The sequence below is a fragment of the Homo sapiens genome, chromosome 2 (assembly GCF_000001405.40).
Source record: "Homo sapiens chromosome 2, GRCh38.p14 Primary Assembly".
Lineage (NCBI taxonomy): Eukaryota > Metazoa > Chordata > Mammalia > Primates > Hominidae > Homo > Homo sapiens.
The window spans coordinates 11735820-11755540 of NC_000002.12; the positions used below are offsets into that span (position 1 = coordinate 11735820).

General features: G+C 50.0%; 1 protein-coding gene and 1 long non-coding RNA gene across 15 annotated transcripts in view, besides 9 other annotated features; one reads left to right on the forward strand and one right to left on the reverse strand.

The window, feature by feature from the left end:
- The window catches only part of LPIN1 (lipin 1), a 149866-nt gene that overhangs the window by 58276 nt on the left and 71869 nt on the right, over positions 1-19721 (forward strand). For 9 of the 14 annotated variants that reach the window (NR_146080.2, NM_001349204.2, NM_001349202.2 and 6 more), the window contains exon 1: positions 10813-10852. The exons of 3 other annotated variants lie outside the window; for them this stretch is intronic. Coding sequence is in view for 1 of the 11 variants with exons in the window: in NM_001261427.3 (NP_001248356.1) it covers positions 5601-5609 (9 nt within the window). In the remaining 10 variants the exon portion in view is untranslated. Of the gene's footprint in view, positions 1-5529; positions 5610-10812; positions 10853-12713; positions 12922-19721 lie in introns of those variants that run through there. 2 more of the 14 variants (NM_001261427.3, NM_001349205.2) reach the window with 2 other exon arrangements.
- Positions 2836-3135: an enhancer, noted in NCBI's record as "active region_15321". NCBI's record gives its function as "activates an Ori minimal core promoter by ATAC-STARR-seq in GM12878 lymphoblastoid cells {active_cell/tissue: GM12878}" and the evidence as "EXISTENCE:reporter gene assay evidence [ECO:0000049][PMID:35858748]".
- Positions 3344-3638: a silencer, noted in NCBI's record as "tiled region #9262; K562 Repressive DNase unmatched - State 8:EnhW". NCBI's record gives its function as "represses a minimal TATA promoter and a strong SV40 promoter by Sharpr-MPRA in K562 cells {active_cell/tissue: K562}" and the evidence as "EXISTENCE:reporter gene assay evidence [ECO:0000049][PMID:27701403]".
- On the reverse strand, positions 4117-9640 carry LOC124907735 (uncharacterized). Its single transcript, XR_007086220.1, has 2 exons — positions 8009-9640; positions 4117-5483 (listed from the first exon to the last, which is right to left on the reverse strand). It is a non-coding gene; the product is annotated as an uncharacterized LOC124907735 (long non-coding RNA).
- Positions 8980-9553: an enhancer, noted in NCBI's record as "H3K27ac-H3K4me1 hESC enhancer chr2:11884925-11885498 (GRCh37/hg19 assembly coordinates)". NCBI's record gives its function as "activates a minimal SCP1, AML or CMV promoter by ChIP-STARR-seq in naive H9 embryonic stem cells {active_cell/tissue: H9 hESC(naive)}" and the evidence as "EXISTENCE:reporter gene assay evidence [ECO:0000049][PMID:30033119]".
- Positions 10492-11061: a silencer, noted in NCBI's record as "silent region_11176". NCBI's record gives its function as "represses an Ori minimal core promoter by ATAC-STARR-seq in GM12878 lymphoblastoid cells {active_cell/tissue: GM12878}" and the evidence as "EXISTENCE:reporter gene assay evidence [ECO:0000049][PMID:35858748]".
- Positions 12065-12736: an enhancer, noted in NCBI's record as "H3K4me1 hESC enhancer chr2:11888010-11888681 (GRCh37/hg19 assembly coordinates)". NCBI's record gives its function as "activates a minimal SCP1, AML or CMV promoter by ChIP-STARR-seq in naive H9 embryonic stem cells {active_cell/tissue: H9 hESC(naive)}" and the evidence as "EXISTENCE:reporter gene assay evidence [ECO:0000049][PMID:30033119]".
- Positions 13509-13768: an enhancer, noted in NCBI's record as "active region_15322". NCBI's record gives its function as "activates an Ori minimal core promoter by ATAC-STARR-seq in GM12878 lymphoblastoid cells {active_cell/tissue: GM12878}" and the evidence as "EXISTENCE:reporter gene assay evidence [ECO:0000049][PMID:35858748]".
- Positions 13789-13838: an enhancer, noted in NCBI's record as "active region_15323". NCBI's record gives its function as "activates an Ori minimal core promoter by ATAC-STARR-seq in GM12878 lymphoblastoid cells {active_cell/tissue: GM12878}" and the evidence as "EXISTENCE:reporter gene assay evidence [ECO:0000049][PMID:35858748]".
- Positions 14299-14358: a silencer, noted in NCBI's record as "silent region_11177". NCBI's record gives its function as "represses an Ori minimal core promoter by ATAC-STARR-seq in GM12878 lymphoblastoid cells {active_cell/tissue: GM12878}" and the evidence as "EXISTENCE:reporter gene assay evidence [ECO:0000049][PMID:35858748]".
- Positions 17976-18185: an enhancer, noted in NCBI's record as "active region_15324". NCBI's record gives its function as "activates an Ori minimal core promoter by ATAC-STARR-seq in GM12878 lymphoblastoid cells {active_cell/tissue: GM12878}" and the evidence as "EXISTENCE:reporter gene assay evidence [ECO:0000049][PMID:35858748]".

Sequence of the window (19721 nt, forward strand, 5' to 3'; positions counted from 1 at the left end):
ATTCATTCTTTAGAGCTGATAAATGGTTATATCACTTAGCACTGTAGATTTTATCTTAACTGGGTTCAAAGGTCTATCTGCTGAGGCATTTAGTGGCTGAGCTATGACTCTGGGGGGCTGGCTCAGGTGTCCTAGTACTGTCACAGGTTGCACAGTGTCTTCTTTGCAGAAACCTGATTTTATTTGGAAGTCAGCTTCCCTCACTGAGGCCAGAAACTGATCACTCAGCTGACTGACACCTTAGCTTTGGGGTTCCAGTTTCTATGGCTGGTTGGTGAGCTCTGTGTTGGGGCAGCCTGGGGAAGAATTGAGCACTGGGGTGCCTTCAGTCTAGGTTGATTCTGTGGATTTGAAACCAATTTGATGCCCTTTAGGATGCGAGCATCTTTTCAGGTCTCTTTAGAATGCTGTCTTAGGTCAGGCTGCTAGAACACATATCATAGGCTGGGTGGCTTAAAAGACAGAAATTTCTATCTCATGGTTCTGGAGGCTGGACCTCTGCCACTGGGGTGCCGGCAGGGTTGGGTTCTGGTGATGTCCACTTTCCTTGGCTTGCAGACAGCTGCCTTCTCCCACTGTCCTCACATGACACAGAGTGAGCTCTGGTCTCCTCCTCTTCTTATAAGGGCACAAATCCCATCATGGAGGTCTTGCCCTCATGAGCTCATCTGAACTTAATCACCTCCCAAAGGCTCCACCTCATCATACCAGCACAGTGGGGACTAGGGTTTCAACAGATGAATTTTGGGGGGCACAAAGATTCAGTCAATAGCAGATGCATTTCTCAGTTGAAGCTAAAAAGCAATTCCAAAAATGTTTTCTTCTTTGGTAGATTCATCCGGTATACACTGCTATGACCTTGCCAATGATTGAAATACTAGAAATTTAGAAATATCCATTGCAGTCACTGTCCCCAGTCCCCTAAGTGGCCTCATTCCTGCCATCTCATCTATTCTCTTAGATTTGCCCCCTTCCCTTTGCAGCCCTCTCCATAAGCCAGCAGGTCCCTGCTCTGCTGTGGCTGGTGTCTGCTCTGATTGGCTCATGTTCATGGCATGCCTAATAGTTTGAATATCATCCCTGGGACTGGCAAAGGAGGCAGTGTGGACTACAAGGCTGGGGAAAGCTGGGAAGAAGGATGAAGCCTGGAGTGCTAGACACAGATGTGCTGATCTGAAGTGTATGCCAAAGGGCATCACTTTTATAGGGAAGTGGACCAGGAGGAGGGAGCGAGGTAATGTCAGATTAGAAGTGAGGGTGTGACATCTACAACCATCTGATCTTTGACAAACCTGACAAAAACAAGCAATGGGGAAAGGATTCCCTATTAATAAATGGTGCTGGGAAAACTGGCTAGCCATATGCAGAAAACTGAAACTGGACCCCTTCCTTACACTTTATACAAAAATTAACTCAAGAAGGATTAAAGACTTAAACATAAGACCTAAAACCATAAAAACCCTAGAAGAAAACCTAGGCAATACCATTCAGGACATAGGCATGGGCAAAGACTTCATGAGTAAAACACCAAAAGCAATGGCAACAAAAGCCAACATTGACAAATGGGATCTAATTAAACTAAAGAGCTTTTGCACAGCAAAAGAAACTAGCATCAGAGTGAACAGGCAACCTACAGAATGGGAGAAAATTTTTGCAGTCTACCCACCTGACAAAGGTCTGATACCCAGAATTTAAAAGGAACTTAAACAAATTTACAAGAAAAAAACCAAACAACCCCATCAAAAAGTGGGCAAAGGATATGAACAGACAGTTCTCAAAAGAAGACATTTATGTGGCCAACAAATGTATGAAAAAAAGCTCTTCATCACTGATCATTAGAGAAATGCAAATCAAAACCACAATGAGATACCATCTCACGCCAGTTAGAATGGCGATCATCAAAAAGTCAGGAAACAACAGATGCTGGAGAGGATGTGGAGAAATAGGAACACTTTTACACTGTTGGTGGGTGTGTAAATTAGTTCAACCATTGTGGAAGACAGTGTAGCGATTCCTAAAGGATCTAGAACCAGAAATACCATTTGACCCAGCAATCCCATTACTGGGTATATACCCAAAGGATTATAAATCATTCTACTATAAAGACACATGCATATGTATGTTTATTGCAGCACTATTTACAATAGCAAAGACTTGGAACCAACCCAAATGCCCATCAATGATGGACTGGATAAAGAAAAAGTGGCACATATACACCATGGAATACTATGCAGCCATAAAAAAGATGAGGTCATGTCCTTTGTAGGGGCATGGATGAAGCTGGAAGCCATCATTCTCAGCAAACTAACACAGGAACGGAAAACCAAACACCGCATGTTCTCACTCATAAGTGGGAGTTGAATAATGAGAACACATGGACACAGGGAGGGGAACATCACACACTGGGGCCTGTTGGGGAGTGGGGGGCTAGGGGAGGGATAGCATTAGGAGAAACACCTAATGTAGATGATGAGTTGATGGGTGCAGCAAATCACCATGGCATGTGTATACCTATATAACAAACCCGCACGTTCTGCACATGTATCCCACAACTTAAGGTATAATTAAAAAAAAAAAAAAAGAAGAAGAAGAGGGGAGGGTGTCAGTCTCCCCTCTGCTACATGGCCGCTGACTCATTTTCAGGAGCCAGCACCGCTGCTGGGGAGTCCCACTTCTGGTCCTGATGGAATAACAGGGAGCAGGTTTACCCTCCTGTCTTAAAAACAGCCGGAAAGCTGGACAAGTATGTGAAACAACAGTTAGTGGACACTGGACAATAGGCAGAACAGGACAGGGATTCCTGGGAGAGGGGAAGCAATAAGAGCAGCCTCACAAGTGTCCACCTCAGCAGTGCCAGGAGAGGGAGCCCAAACAGAGCCTGAGGGCCTGCCCAGCTCAGGAGATGGAGTGTGGGCTTCCGGGAGGCCAAGGGAGCTAGAATTTGCAGGGCAGAGATCTGCAGAAGAAGGAGCCACAGAGAATGGTTCAGAGATCTGCAAGGAGTGCCTTGAGTCTTCAGCTGAGTACTGGTCTGCACATGAATGTGAGGAAACCACCAAGGAAGGAGCTTGCAGGCAGAACGATCTCCAGAAATCACTCAGGCCTGGGGATATTGTGTGTCTGTGAGAGCAGCTTAGAAATAGATCCCTAAATTATCTGATAGTCTTCCTTTCAAAAAGAGGCGCCTACACCTACCTCCCTTGAATGTGGGCTGGGCTTACTAATATGTTTCTAAAGGACAGAATGTGGTGAAAGTGACGATGATGGTTTGTGACTTTAGAGACTAGGGTGTAGAAAGCCTTGTGGCTCCTGCTTGCTCTCTCTTGGGTCAGCCCCTCTGGGGGAAAGCCAGAAGCTGTATTGCTCAATCAGCCTCCGGACAGGTCCATGAGGCAAGAAATGGAGCCCCTGGCTACAGCCATGTGAGTCACCGTCCTGGAGGCAGATCCTTTGGCCCCAGTCAGAGGGCTCCAATCCAGCCATCACCTTGACTGCGACCTCACGAGAGAGCTTGAGTTAGAGCCACCAGCTGGGCCACTCCTGGATTCCTGACACAAGAAACTGCAGGGAATAAATACCTGTTGATTCAAGCTGCTAAGTTTTGAGGTAAATTTTATGCAACAAAAACTACATTTCCATCAGCCAGACTGGGAAGACCCCCTAAAATTCAGGACATCGAGGAGAAAAGTAGAAGAGAATTGCCTCAAAGAGGTGACAAATTAGTCCTAAAACAAAGGCTGTTCTGGATCTGCCGTAACAATGTTGAACATCAAGGCTCAAAAAGATCAAACTAATCGTAAGTAACTTTACTGCATCTCAGAACAAAGCACAACACTGTTTAAAGGAATATAATAAAATCTAGCCACCAACAGTACAAAACTGACAATGTCCCGTGTCCAAACAAAAATACTGGGCTTGCAAAGAAGCAGGATAATATGACCTAGGATCTGGAGAAAAATCAATCAATATAAACAGATCCAGAAATGACATTCATGATAGAATTAGATGAGGGTGTTAAAACGGCTACTATTTATATAACCATATGCGAATGACATTCAATGTAAACCCTTTGTATCAGGATTCTCCAGAGAAACAACCAAATAAGATAGATAGAGATATAGATAAATGAGAGGGGATTTAATTTGGAAATTGGCTCACATGATTATGGAGGCTGAGAAGTCCTATGATTTGCTGTCTACAAGCTAGAGAACCAGGGAAGCTGGTGACATAGCTCAGTCTGAGTGCAAAGGCCTGAGAACCTGAGGGGCCATCGGTGCAGGTCCTGGAGTCCGACGGCTGGAGACCCTGGAGTGCTGATGTCCAAGCGCGGGAGAAGGAGGGTGTCCCAGCTTCAGAAAAGGGAGTGAATTTGCCTTTCCTCAGCCCTTTTGTTCTATTGAGGAATTCAACTGATTGGATGGAGCCCAGCCCACACAGGTGAGGATGAATCTTCCTTCCTCACTCAGTTCACTGATCCAAATGCCAACCTCTACCAGAAACACACTCAAAGACATCCCCAGAGACAATGCTGTACCAGCTATCTGGGTATCCCTTAACCCAGTCAAGTTGACACCAAAAATTAACCATCACACCCTTCAATTATAACTTCCCCGCACTTTGCGAGGTCGAAGCAGGCAGATCATTTGAGCTCAGGAGTTCCAGACAAGCCTAAGCAACATGGCGAAACCCTGTCTCTATAAAAAAAAATACAAAAATTAGCTGGGTGTGGTGGGACTCATCTGTAATCCCAGCTACTTGGGAGGCTGTGGCAGGAGGATTGCTTGAACCTGGTAGGTGGAGGTTGCAGTGAGCCAAGATCACCCCACTGCACTCCAGCCTGGGTGACACAGTGAGGCTCTATCTCGAAAAAAAAAAAAAAAAAAAGGAAGAAAGAAAGAAAAGAAAAGAAAGAAAGAAAGAAAGAAAGAAAAGATCTTCTTATCAATTGATATGGGGTTAAATAATTGGGGGATAAAAAATTTGAAGCCATCTTCCCAGAGATGACAATAAACAGAAATAAACAAGTGAAAACCCAGAAGATCTGTGGCTGCTAATCAGAGGAAGCAGGTCTGAACAGGGAACCACTTAGCTGTAGATACCAAGCAGTGTCCAACAGGTTGCTTAGCAGAGGCATAAAATCATGACTTTTCTCAGGCACTTCTCATAAATTTCTTCCCAGAGCAATCAGAGATGCTGCATCCAGTTTACTTATTCACAATTTGGGCACGAAAGAGATCTTCCTCAAGCCACGGAGAAGACAGGCTTGACAAGGAGCAGGACGGCCTTCACAGCAGCACAAATGGGAGGCCCTGTGAAATTCTCCCTGGAAGGCAGAGCTAAGAGATGTCAGCCCTGAGGCTTAGCATCCCCATAGAGGGACTGACCAGGAGCCCGGGAGTCCTGCCCCAGCTGTGTCCCTAAGTTGCTGGGTTAACCTCTGTAGAATGTGAGGATGGCCTGGTCATTTTCATTCTCGAGAGACACTGGAGAGAAAAAGAACATTTTGTGAATGATGTCGTGTGTCCACAGGTAACTCTGAAGCGTGAGCTGCCAGAATTCAAGGCCACCTGCTTAACAGAAGACAACTAGAAACCTCATCCATGAGCAGAGTAAGCACTGCTGTTCAGTAGTTCTATTACTGTTAAGGTGTTATGACCATTAGATAAATAATATTGTTTGGCAACTGCAAGGAAAAGAACTGCGTAAATTGGTTCCAAACATTGCCACTCGAGCTCAGGAGTTTGAGACCAGCCTGGGCAACATGGCGAAACCCTGTCTCTATAAAAAAATACACATCCTGGCTAACACAGTGAAACCCTGTCTCTACTAAAAATACAAAAAATGAGCCGGGCAAGGTGGCGGGTGCCTGTAGTCCCAGCTAGTCAGGAGGCTGAGGCAAGAGAATGATGTGAACCTGGGATGCGGAGCTTGCAGTAAGCCGAGATCGTGCCACTGCACTCCAGCTGGGCGACAGAGTGAGACTCCATCTCAAAAACAAAACCAAACCAAACAAAACAAAAATTAGCTGGGTGAGGATGTTGCCCAGGCTGGTCTCGAACTCCTGAACTCCTGAGTTCATTCGTCAGTGATAAGTCCATGCAATCACTGAGTGGTAAGAGCTTGAACTGGTAAAGTGATTTGATATTTTATTGGTTATCTGGATCCCAATATATCTCATTTAATTTCCTCCCAAAGCTGCTGAGATGGGGATGGTTACCTCTGTTTAACAGCTGAGGACGCTGAGGTTCAGACAGCACTCAGCCACGTGGCTGAGCTGGACTTGAATTTGAGCCTGTTGGATTCTGAACCCTAGACTTCGTGCACCTGACCAGGTTGCCTATTATTAATGAGAAGATCTACAGTCATGTGCCGCATACCAATGTTCTGGTCAACTACAGACTGCGTATACGATGGTGCTCCCATCAGATTCTAATACCGTATTTTTACTATACCTCTTCTATGTTTAGATAAGTTTAGACACACATACTGACCCATTGTTTGCCTCTCTGGGCCTCAGTTTTCCTATCTAAGGAAGGGGGGACTCTTAAGGGTTTTCTACTTCTGAGCTCTCCTTAGCATTCTGTCTGTGTAGCTGTTTTCTTAGCACTGGAGAATGTGAGACTTGAGATGTGCTGCTTAAGGCTGTGACAGCCCCACACTTGTTTAGCAAGGTCATGGGTCATGGCGACTCAGAGGACTGACTCATGGTGATATGCGGGGTCTTTTTGTTCCTCCTGGAATTAGAGCCCACTGTAACAGTCCACACTTCCCAGCATAGCAGCCACTGTTTCTAAGTAATGGAGTTCTCTCCTCCCATCCCTGGTCATGTTGAGGTCTCTTTCCCTGTCCGCTCCTCGCACCTTGGTCTCTTTCTTCTTTCCTGCCTCTCTGCTGTTCTGTGTCTTAGCCCCGCTCATTATGAATTGTTCCCAATCTGACCAGAGGAGAAAGGGCGTTCCAGACCCCCTCTGGCTTCATCCAGTGGGAGACAGGCATGGGGCTTGCTGTGAGCTCCCGAGCTCCCCCGCCCACCAGCGGCCAGCCACGGCCTTCTTTCAAGCACCTGTGCGTGCCTGACTGCTGTGCATGTGCTGCTGGCTGGCCCGTGGTTCATTCTGCTCCTTGACACCTGGCCTAGATTTGCCTAGGTCGGTGCCTGCTTAGGCCACCAAGGTCAGGTGAATCCTCTTGCTTGGGGACAGGGCAGGTCAAATCCTGCATCAGTGCACGGCCCTTCAGTTCACAGCGGCCTGAAGCACTGTGACAGTTTTTACGCGATCACAACCCAGACTGTGCACTCCCTGAGGACAGACACTGTGTCTGGTCTGCTCCCCTTTGTAGCCCCCAGTGCTCAGCCTAGGGCCTCCAAGATGCTCCTGTGTGTCCAGCTGTCAGCCTTTATCACTCTGCCACTTCCTGTGCCTCAACTCTAATCTGCAGGCCCTGCCCTAACTGTGAAGTGGGCCTCTGGATAGCCCGGGTGACCGTCAAAACCTTCTGTGCTTTGGTTCCAGCTGTTTGCTCTCCGAGGATCACTGTCCTCTCCCTGCGGAACCCAGAACCTTTTACACCTGCCTCTTCCCCATGAAACTTCCCTGCTCAGCCAGCCACAGCACCCAGGGGGCCCCATTCCACCTTGGGTGGATTCCCAGGCTGCTCTGTTCCCTGCCACCAAGGTAGTGAAGCGGCACCAGGTGGCCCCTGGTTCCCACCTGGTTCTTAAGAGAGTGCGCAGGACAAAGTCACCTCGTGAGGGGCCCCCAACCAAGGAGTGGCCTTAGACCCCGAGGAGATGCCCTCCCTTCCCCGGAGCCCCAGGCACTGGTGCCAGGGATAAAAGTCTGCACCTCTAGGGGAAGAATTCATTGTCCTCTCTTTGGGATCCTTTCTGCCCGGGCAGTTACAGAGCTAACCATGCTCAGAGTCCTGGGGGATCAGCCAGTGTTTCTCCTTCCTACAGTAGCTCGCAGGGCACCCGTGAAGAGGGATGCTCATTCTTCCCGCCTACCTTGCCCCAGGTATTCTGGGCCTGTGTAGGTGGTTGATCTGGACAACTTCAGAGTTCTCGGGATACAACAGCTACTGTCACCAGCTGGGCTCAGCAGTGAACAGATCCTTCTGGGAATGGCCACTCCTCAACTTATGGGGTTTTAGAATTGAAAAATCTTCCAACCCCACAACTGTGACAGCAGCTTCCCATGATGCCTTTTTCATCCTCAAAGCAGATCTGTGTCATGTGCACCTGCAGCCCATTTCCTGGATTGTGAAACTGAGCCTCTAGAATCAGGATGCTTGTGCTGGCTTTGCTAAGGCATTACTCAGCCCCTCCTTCCTCCTCCAGTCAGCTAGAGCAAGATTACTCATCCCTGGAGTTCCTTCTCCTCTTCCGAGTGCAGCTAGGTCCTGGGATTGGCCAGGGGGATCGCCTCAGCTCTCCTGGCTGAGTCACTGCTCAGTCAGGCCTGGTTGCTGATAGCACAGCCAAGGGCCCTCCCAGGGGGACTCCAGCCAGTGCCTGATCAAAAGCGCCAGGGCTTTGGAAAGTCCGGTTTCGTTTATCGCCTGGGAGTGCACTGTGATCTAGTGAGTGTTTTCTTCTCATTGCTTGTTTATACAAAAGGCTCCCCCCAACCCTTGGCCTTCCCCGAGGTGGTAGGCTGGGCAGCAGCGGGACCTAATTTGCTCTGAATCCAGCCAGACCCTGCTCATCAGAGCTGACCCTAGCCGTGCTGGGCCCCCCAGCTCATCATTTTCAGAATGAGGGCTTTGAGTTGAATTGTCCTATATTTTCAGACCTCCCATCTCCACATTTGAATAATGGACTTATTTTACACAAAAAATAAACTTAAGTGGCCTGAAGTTGGACTGGCTTCCTGGAAAGCCTTTCCACATAGAGTAGACTTCTTCCCAGGCCAGCTCCTCCCTGGAGGTGGGAGGGGAGGGTGCAGGAGGGCTTCCTTCTGGGGCCTTGCAACCTCAGCAGTTTTGGGCAGCCGTGATGCACTTGAAACTCTGGTCTCTGAGAAAACCCCTGTGGAGGTAGCTCACCTACAAACTGCAAGATTCTCTTTGTGTAGCTCCCACGTCTGCAATGTCAGCATGGGACAGGCTGCCTAGATAGGAGCTGCCCCAAGCCCAGCGGGAGCGTGTCCACACTTGACCAGATGGACGGGAGCCGCGCCCCTGGACAAAGCTCTCCAAGCAGCTGTCCCCAAACATCTATCTCAAGCTTGCTGGCTTATCCAATTCACTAAGCTGCCGCATTCGATGCTGTTTCTAAGCTGGCCTCCTCCCTGGCCCTCTGCATCTCAGCAGAGCAGCGGTTCCATCTCCACACTGAGACTTGCCTTTGAGTATCGCATCACACACCTCCACCGGTTCCATTCATCAGTAAGCCTGTGGGTTTTGCCTCCAAATCTCTCTGAAGTCCTTCCGCTTCTTGCTGAGTAGCCCCTGTAATCTGAGCCACCATCATGTCCCCCGGTTTCCTGCAGTGCCACCTGTCTGCTGGCTTCTACTCCTGCAGTCCATTTTCCATGGAGTGGAGGGGTGACTTTTTAAAGAAGTAAATTAGATCATATAATTCCCAGGTTTAAAATTCTTTTTGGACCAGGCGTGGTGGTTCACACCTGTAATCTCAGCACTTTGGGAAGCCAAGGTGGGAAGACTGCTTGAGCCCAGCAGTTTGAGACCAGCCTGGGCAACATAGGGAGACCTGGTCTCTACAAATAGTTTGAAAAATTAGCTGGGCGTGGTGGCATGCACCTGTGGTCCCAGCTACTTGAGAGGCTGAGGCAGGAGGATTGCCTGAGGCCAGAAGGTGAAGGCTGCAGTGAACCGAGATTGTGCCACTGCACTGTAGCTTGGGTGACAGAGTGGGACCCTGTCTCAAAAAGAATTGGTTTGGAATAACATTTAAATAATACCTAAACTCCTTGCCTTGGCCTACAAGACCTGAATATTTGGCCCCTGCCTTCCCTCCAGCCCACAGCACCGGCCCCAGGACCTTTGCACCTGCCATTTCTGCTCTCCAGAAAGCCCTGCCTCCTCCCCATCTTTGTAGTCATAGGTGTTTCTTGTCATTTAGAGTTTCAGTTCAAATATGACACCCTCCCATTGATGGAAATCATTTCACCACCAGACGTTATGTGGCTCATTGTTTATCCGCTGCCTGCCTCCCGGCTGGAGAGGCGCAGGGAGCTGCCTGTCCCTCCTGTTCAGAGCCACCGTTCCGCACCTGGACCACCGCTTGGCAGAGGCGGGAGTGGAGGCTGTCACCATCAGGATGAAGGACAGGGGTGGCCCGGCGTGGAGAAGCTAAGAAGAGATGGCGATAGGTCAACGCGATTGCGCCTTTAAGGTGGAAGAAACGAAGGGCGAGGGTCAGTAAAGTCAAGGACGGGCTCAGATCCCGCCACTGGTGATAAGCGGGACCCATAGGACCGACGTGATCGCGGCCAGGCCCTGGGTGGTTTACCTGGACTTTTACCTGGCTGCCTTTTCTCTGCACCCCTCCGTCCTCACTCCCCCAGTCATCGGCATAGGTCAAGTCAGAGTGTTGAAGAAACACACGAGTTTGGCTCTGGAAAGGAAAATCAGAAAGGCGGCCTAAGGGGCCCCACCCCCAGGAACGCTAAGATAGGCGGCCAGGGGTGAGCGGGCAGGGCCGGCCAGCAGGCCCTGAAAGCAGCCGGGCCACCAGCGCGTCCCGAGTCCCCCTCGCACCGCCCCGCTTGCCCCGCCCCTGCCCTCTGCCCCCGCCCCTGCCCCGCCCCCGAAGGCGAGCTGCGCTGACAGCCGGCGGCGGGCTGGGTGTTTGCAATACAAAGGCGGCCACGCGCGGCGCCGCTCGGTGAGTAGCCGCCGCCTCCAGCCTCCCGCTGTGGAGCAGGGGCCGCAGCCTCGGGTTAGGCGGGGCGGGGCGCGGCGCCGGGGCGCTGAGGACGCGTGGCGAGGCGGGGGCTCGGCCCCGGGGCCCGAGGACCGACGGCCGGGCTACGTCCCCGGGGCCCTCTACGGGAAGTGGTTCGGGGGAGGGAGGCGGGGAAACAGGCCCCGGAGGCCGGGAGGGCCTCGCGAGCATCCCTCGGGCCTGGCTTTCCTGACGCGCCGCGAGGCCCGGTGTGGGCCCGGCTTGGCTGATCTCGAGCGGCGTAGGGGCCACTGGGGGCTGCCGCGCAGTCCCAGAACCGCGGGGACTAGCTCCAGCCGGCCAGCGCGGGTGCGTCCTGGCTCTGCGCGATCATCCCCAGCTTTGCGCCGGGGACTGGGATGAGAGCCTTTCTTTCCCCCGGAGTTAGGATTCCAGCGCTGCAGTTGAGGAAACTGAGGCTCAGGGAGGTTGACCTCTGTGCCCAAGGTCATACAGTTGCCGGGCGGCAGGGCAGGCTGAGCCCAGGTTGGAATCCCGGTTCTCATATTACAGCTCTCCCCTGCGAGGCCTCTGCACCTTTCTTGCAGCCTAGGAGGTGCTAGGCCTAGTGAGCTCCGTCAGCTGCTCCTGCACGTAATTTTATTATGGGCAAGGCCAGGAAAATGCAGGATGAGAAGTAACGTTTTGGGAGTAACTTAAGTGCTGTGGAGCTAGAGTAGGTAATTTGTGTGGTCAGTAGTTGCTGGAGAAAGCAGATGTCAACCCTGTTTTTGATCAGCAAGCAGGAAACCAACTAAGACAACTGGCAGTATTAATTTGGAGATGTTTTAGAACCCGGCAGTTTCCCACAGGATAGAAGTGTTTTGGGAAATCAAAGCTTGTAGCCGTTTTTTTAATTGGGGGTGTTGTGGTATGGTGGTCTAGGGGTAGTGATTGTGAGATTGACTGTTTATCCTTTGTTCCGTAATTTGGGTCTTATTAATGAAAGTAAGCAGTTGAGGAATGTATAGTATTTGAGAAATAAGCACATCCACACATGAACACTTTTCTTGCTCCCAGATTCTTGTTGAAAGGTGTAACAGTTGGATTTATGATTATATACTTTGATAGCACTTCACGTTTGCCAGCATTTGTTATTGAGTGTTTTTGTGCATGGGTTGTGTGTTTTGGCGCTTATTATTCCTATTTGCATGTGGGGCCCTGTGGTCCTGTGGAGCCAGGCCTGGATATAGCCCTGGACTCGGGTCGGGAGGTCTGGGCTCTGCCTGAGCTCTGTGGGACCCTGAGCGAGTTCTTTCACCCACCCAGGTCTCGCTTATCAGCAGTTCCTTTCTTTTAGAAAAGCACAGGGGGACAAGGGGCGGACCTGCTGAGTCTTGTGGTGTGGGAGAGAACGCGAGGGTTCAGGTGAGAGACCGCAGGGATTCCTGGTTGTAGGGGGGACCTTGGAAGTGACTGAGAAGGAGCCTGCCCTGGATTAGGTGGGGACAATTGGCCTGGCCCAGCCAGAAGGAAGTCTGTGGGTCCTGCTCTCCTGCTCTTTGCGTGGTCAGCTGCACAAAGGGCCCAGAACAGACGGCAGGGGAGGGTCAGGAGATGAAAAGATATTTCAGAAGAAGGTCCTGAGGCCACCGTGGTCTGAGATGCGCCGAGGCCGGCACAGAGCACTGGGCTTTGCAGTTGTTGTTCTGACCACTCACAGATGTAGAACTTGGGCAGAAGACTTCAATCCTCTGAGCCTCAGTTTTCCCATCTGTAAAATGAAGGGATAATCATACCCATTCACAGGATTGTTGCAAAAATTAATTGAGATAAAAAAGAGCCCCTGGAACATAATATGGGGTCCACGAATCATTGTGGTTGTTATGATTTTAAAGTGCCACAGGGTGCCAGCGAGGAGGGGCTCTTTGTGGGGTTGGGACAGTCCTGGCTGACGCCGGCCTCTGCTCTGTAAATCATCCCTGTGGGACACCCCCTCCCCCTGCCTGCCACCTCTCTTCCGGTTGGCTTTTCCGGACCATCTGTGTACTGGGTTCAAGGCCTAAAAGGTACCTAAATGAGGTTAATTGATTTGGGCAAGCCTGCCAATGGGGGTAGTCGAGGGGTACAGGCAGCTTTTTCCTTAGGGTGGGAGGGGGCTGTTGCACGGATGTCGGCAGCTTTTGGAGCATTTTGAGAGACATCCAGGTGTTAGGTCCCGCCAGGACACCGAGGCTGGTGGTTCGACCTGTTTGCACTTGCACTTCCTCACTGGTAGCCCGGGCGTGGGATCTTGGAGCTTTTGAGGGGTCCTGAGGAGGAAGTCCCTGGAATCACCCACTAGCAGCTTTGGGGCTTGTTCCTTGAGAAGGGCAAAGTCACAATTTTGACACTTTATTGAACCCTGGACCAATGTATTGTATAATAAGCCCACTCATTTAAAACTGGAACGGGGTGTGTGGGGAAAAAAGAGTTGGGACAAAACCCAAGCAAAGCCGTTCAGTGACGTCACAGGTTCTTCATTCAGAAGAGGCCCAGGTGCCTATCGGATGGCTGTTTCTGAAATGTTCGCTTTCTGAGCTGTGAGGGAGGGTCTGGAGAGAGAGAGGGGCCCATGCCTGTGTGTCGAGGGGACACACCCACACTGGCCCTGCTCCTTGATCAGAGGATGCACCAGCGCCTGAAGGGAATCTGTGCCCCCTAGGAGGCCACACTGGGCCCTGGGGCTGCTGGGGTCCGAAGCAAGTGCCCTGACCTCCCTTCCTGTGGGTTCCCTTCCTCTTCCTCTTTCCACAGCTTTCCCCTGTCTGTCTCCCTACCTGTAATTCACCCCAACAAGCCCTTAGCAGCTGGGGTTGGGGTGGGGTCTGTGCAGCCAGGGATATGTTGAGTAGTGAGTTTCTGCCTGTAGAAAGCTCTGGGTCTGGGCTGACCCAGACCCAGGCTGACACTTTTCACAATGAGGTATGTGGCCCAGGAGTCTTAAAACCTCAGCAGTGTCTGGCCCACAGGCTGTTCTGCACACTGAGGGATGCAGGGCGCGTTGTGCCGCTCCCACTCCCAGCTGAGAGGTTGGGAGGAACCAGATGGACTGGGCTCCATCAGGAGAGAAGCCAGAAGCATTTTCACACCGGTGGTCATGGCTACAGGGTCATGGTTACAGTGGATTTTTCAACCCACTGACCAAATGTTGTGATTCTTGCAACAACTTAAAATTTTCGGCTGATGCTGAATGCTGGGGCTTTCCAGAAATAGCCATAGGCTGTTAGAACAGGCACTTTGCTCTGTAAGGAGGCCTGTTTGTTCCTGAGTGTGAGCTGATTTGCATTGGCTCACAAAGTTGACCACAGACCCTGCATGGGAGACACAACCAACACCCCCATTTGCCTGCTGGCACGCACTTGTGCCCCCCTCCCCTCCCCGGCCTCGCTCCCTGGAAGCCCTCGCACCTCTCCCCTTGCCCTCTGTCCCCTAGCCACACACACTCACTTTTTGATGAAGTCGTCCTCCGCGTTCATGGATCTCACTAGGCTGTAGGTCTTCAGTTTACAAGACAGGAGACAAGCAACAAGGGTTTTAGGATAATGGGCACCAGACAAGACAGGCGCCCAGACAACTGTTCTGGCAAAACAATGTCCCACCATTGGACTCTGTGCAATGCCAGAATGCCACCAGTCTCGGGGTGGCCTCTTTGGGCTCAGATTTTGGGCAAATGAGAATGTGGAATGTAGGCATAGCCTTCAAATAGTTCTGTATTCATTTTAACTAGTAATATTCTTTGCCTCTGTCTTTTTGGGAAGGTACTATTTAAATAGGTGATATATACAAAGTCCCCTCTGGCAAGAGACGTTATTCAAAGACCGGATTTTGTCTGGAACCAGTTTGTGGTCACAGAATTAGCACGTGGTTTTTATTTGGTGCATGTGCTTTGAAAAGTACTTTACATTTACTGCCTCACAACAGTCCTATGAGGTGGCTGTGCTGATGTCATCCCTTTTTATAAAATAGATGCGAAACTGCAGTGCAGAGAGCTTAGTAACCTGTCTTTGATCACAGAGTTAGTGGAAGGTGGAGGCAGGATTTGAATACCTCCAGAGCCTGCGCTCTTACCTGCTGAGCTATATTGTCTCCTAATAGTGCCCTGGAACACCCAGGTGATATATGCCCACCTCCCAATTGCTGGGGTGTGGTAGGGGTGGGGGGTAATACAGAAATAAAGTTATAAGGGCAGAGCATTCTTTTTGACCAAGACACGAATTTGGACAGAGGGCTCTTGAAAGTGCGTAGAGAGAATGTGCCATTGGGTCTTTGAAGGAAAAGAACGTCCTGTCCTTAATCAGTGAGCTAAATAATTAAGAGCCAAAGGATCGGAGTCAAAGCCTTGGGCTGTTTTGCTCAGCATAGTTGTCATACCATATTTAGATGTCTACACCCACCTTTATCCAGGCCATTTGTATTTCTTGGCAGGAACGTGAGAACAAGCGTCACCTGGGGTTGTGGTATCTGAGGGTTGCAAAGTGTCAGCGCTGGAGGAGCTGAGTGATCACTCATCTGACCTTCCCTCCAAAGCAGGAGTACCCCTGTCCAGCACCCTGTCCTGTCTCAGTGGTTTCAGTGATGGAGACCCTGAGACTGAGTGGACCAGAGTTTTCCATCCTTCACTCCCAGTTCTCTGAGGTTACTAATAATTGACATGAAATACATGCAGACATAAAAAACACAAGCTAGAAAGCAACACTATGGGAAGTATTTATGATAAAAAGTGAAGATCTCTTCCTCCTTTTCCCAGGCTGGTCCCCAGGGGTGAATCTTGTGAATCTTGTTTTGTATGTATCTCATTCCAGAATTTTTTTATGCATATCAAAATATGTACAAATGTAATTTTTTAAAAATGGGTCCAGCTGGGCGCGGTGGCTCACGCCTGTAATCCCAGCACTTTCGGAGGCCGAGATGGGTGGATTACGAGGTCAGGAGATCAAGACCATCCTGGCTAACATGGTGAAACCCCGTCTCTACTAAAAATACAAAAAAATTAGCCAGGCTGGTGGCAGGCGCCTGTAGTCCCAGCTACTCGGGAGGCTGAGGCAGGAGATTGGCGTGAACCTGGGAGGCGGAGCTTGCAGTGAGCCGAGATTGCGCCACTGCCCTCCAGCCTGAGTAACACAGCGAAACTCCGTCTCAAAACAAAACAAAACAAACAAACAAAAAACCACAATGGGTCCATATTATAAGTATTTTTGTACCTGTTTTCATTCTATATATACATTTTCATGTTAATATTTATGGAGCTACCTCTCTACCATTTTATTATCAGCCTCATAATATTCCATTTTACAATGTGGATGGCCCATAATTTATTAAGCCAGAGTCATACAGATATTAAGTTATTTCTGATTTTCCCTATTACAATTAATGCTACAGTTACTGTTTTTGTACACGGATCTTACTGTATTTGTACAATCAGTTCCCAGCGGTATAGTTGCTAGGGTTTGCCAATAGGTGCCCCAAAAGATGGGCATTGCCACATTGCTTACCCCATTTATGACCCTGTTAGTAGTGAGTGACGATGTCTGATTCTCCTACTTTTCATGGGCCCTGGGGTTTTAATGAAATGCTTTGATTTTGGACCATCTGAAAGGCCTCTTTCGATTCCTGTATCTTTAATTATGAATGGGGTTGAATATCTCTCTCATATATTATTGGCCAAATGTGAACTGTCTATATGTTTTGTCCATTTTTTCTTTTGAGCTGTTCCAAGGCCATTTTTTTTTTTTTTTTGAGACGGAGTCTCGCTCTGTCGCCCAGGCTGGAGTGCAGTGGCGGGATCTCGGCTCACTGCAAGCTCCGCCTCCCGGGTTCACGCCATTCTCCTGCCTCAGCCTCCCAAGTAGCTGGGACTACAGGCGCCCGCCACTACGCCCGGCTAATTTTTTGTATTTTTAGTAGAGACGGGGTTTCACCGTTTTAGCCGGGATGGTCTCGATCTCCTGACCTCGTGATCCGCCCGCCTCGGCCTCCCAAAGTGCTGGGATTACAGGCGTGAGCCACCGCGCCCGGCCTCCAAGGCCATTTTAAACTGACCTTAATCTTCTAGAGGTGGCTGGTGTTGGCAAAAATTGTGGGGTTAGGAAAGCTGTGGCAGGGGTTTTGAATTTTGGCAGTTCCAAGAAAGCAGCGTTTCTTGGCAATTTGTGAAGCCTGGAGATGGATTCTGCCAATTTTGGAATAAATGTGGAATTTTCTAATTTAATCGTGAGGCAAGAAACCATGTGACCTCTGTCACCTCATCCTGACAGTGTCCGCAGTGCTGTCCTTTCTGGAACTGTATGAAATTGCGGTCGTGAATGCTTTGGAGCGTCTGCTGTGTGCTGGAGTTCTACAGATGAGCTTAATTATGGGAACGCCCTCCTGTCCCTGGGCAAGGAGGGGGATGAGCAGGGTGGGGGTGTGCTGGAGGAGGAGACGCCTGCCACTTTGCCACCCTGGAAGCTCACTGCAAGAGCTGCAAAATTTCCCACCTGCCTAACACAGGCAGGGCTTTGGTGGCGGGACCCCAGGGCTGGCTGTTTTTGCTCTTTCATCACTTTTGTCAGGAAGTATTGAAAGACCTTTAAAAGGCCTCTGACTTGCAGGGCCTCTGACCTGCAGGCCTTTTAAAGCATCTCCAGCTTTTCTAGTGAGTTTTTGTATTTTGGACGGGAATGTCTCACGAACCCTGGCATGCCAAGAAAGTCCCCAATTTCCCAGCAGGTAGTGATGGATGCAGAGCTGTGCTCTTCTGTTTAAGAAGCTCCTCAAGGCACTCTGGCCAGGACAGTTTAACCACAGGGACGCTGGTGGACTCAGTCAATCCAGACCTGGCAGAGGGCAGCAGCTGCCTATAAGTGTGTGCCAGTTACAGCAGGGCGTGGGCTGCTGCCCAGGTGGCCTGACTTTCTGTCTGTGTTCCTTTCCCTGTATCACCCTGAGTCTGAGCCAGACTTCCTCTTTTGTCACAGGTAATTCATCACCCTTATCAACCGCCGTTAAGTATCAGTCCACAATGCTCTGAAAAGACTTCCTCTTTGCCGTAAGTGTAAATTACAGGAGGAAGCTAACACTATTTATAAATCAATTTCATTTTCATGCAAGTCTTATTAGTCATGATACCATTTTGGGCACTTCCTAGAAGCTTTTTGTGTTTTTAAATGCTTTGGATGAAAATCCTCATTTGTCTTGTAAACCTCCAAGGTGGATGTGATCTCGGCGAACACCAGTAACAGCGTGATGTTTGTGACTTTATCCAGTGCTGGGCGGACCACAGATAGAGTCCCCAGGTGCTGAGACACTGACTGTAGTGTGCTCAGAGGAGGGCGGCTAGGGCAGTGAGCAGGAAGCCCCAAAATCGTCCCTGTCAAGCCCAGCTGGGGAGCCGACAGTGCCTTCCCTAGAGGAAGGGTGCCAGGGGTGGTCATTTAGTTGTCCTGACATGATCCGTTGGCCCCACGAGCAGCAGCCAGGTCTGTATCTGAGAGCTGTAATTTCCTGCTGATAACAGGAACACAGATAAGGGGCACCCCATCCCAGAGTGATATTAGGTTGGCTTTTGAATCACCAGGCTCCTTGGATGTGCCTTAAGCCCACAGGTGCCCTTTAAGCACCTGCCGTGAGGGCAGATGTGACAGATCGTGTTTGCTCTCTGGGCAGTGAGTGGGTTTTGGGTAGCTTCTCTCCAGGAAATGATGAATCACTCGGAGCTGAGCAAGTGCCAGAGAAGTCTTCAATCACAGACTGAACCCAGGAGGGTGTTTCGGCCTTTCTAAGTCCTTAAGGGTTGTAGGGAAGGTTTTGAACAATGGCTTTTGACTTTACCTTCTGAGAGGCTCTGTCAGGGAGTGGTGATGCTGCGGGTGAGAGCAGTTTTGAAGGTGTCACATCCAGGGCCAACCCTGAGCCTTGCTTCTGTAGCCACCTCCTATGGGAGGTCATGACAATAATAAGATTTTGCATGTGTTGTCCAGGAGCAAAGACCTTTCCAAACTAGTCGTTGTGTTGACCACTGAGGATGACAGCCTGGTGGGCTCAGTCAGAGCCATTGTGTTAATACCCTGCTCCCACACACATAGCTGGTAAATGCCAGAAGTTAACACTCACAGCCAGGCCTTCCGACCCCCAATTTTGTGTCATTTCTGCTTTTCAGTCTTACCCTTAGGTGTCACAGCTGTTTATTTAAACTGTTTGCAGTGAATTTTGTTTGGGAGCATTGTCTTGTGAAATTTATGCTCTGGCAGAGAACAATTCCTGCTGTCTTCTTCATTTCTTCTAATTTTTTTTTTTTTTTTTGAGACGGAGTCACCCAGGCTGGAGTGCAGTGGCACGATCTCGGCTCACTGCAAGCTCTGCCTCCCGGGTTCACGCCATTCTCCTGCCTCAGCCTCCCAAGTAGCTGGGACTACAGGCGCCCGCCACCATGCCCGGCTAATCTTTTTTGTATTTTTAGCAGAGACGGGGTTTCACCATGTTAGCCAGGATGGTCTCGATCTCCTGACCTCGTGATCCGCCCGCCTCAGCCTCCCAAAGTGCTGGGATTACAGGCATGAGCCACCGCGCCCGGCCATTTCTTCTCATTTTTAAATTTTAGTGCTTTTCCCCCTCGTGCCCCGACTTGCCAAGCTACTTTGAGGGTGGTGGGTGCATCTTGCTGTTTTACACTCTGGAATGTCGTGATGGGACCAAAAATAAAAGTTTCTTGCTTGAGATGGGCCCTGCGATGGGGCAGGTACCGCGTCAGAAATGAGCAAGCCTCGTCCCTGTCCTCAAGGAGAGAAGACTCACTTGGTAGACAGATGTCTGTTCAGCCACTTGACAAATGACAGTAATATTGATCAAG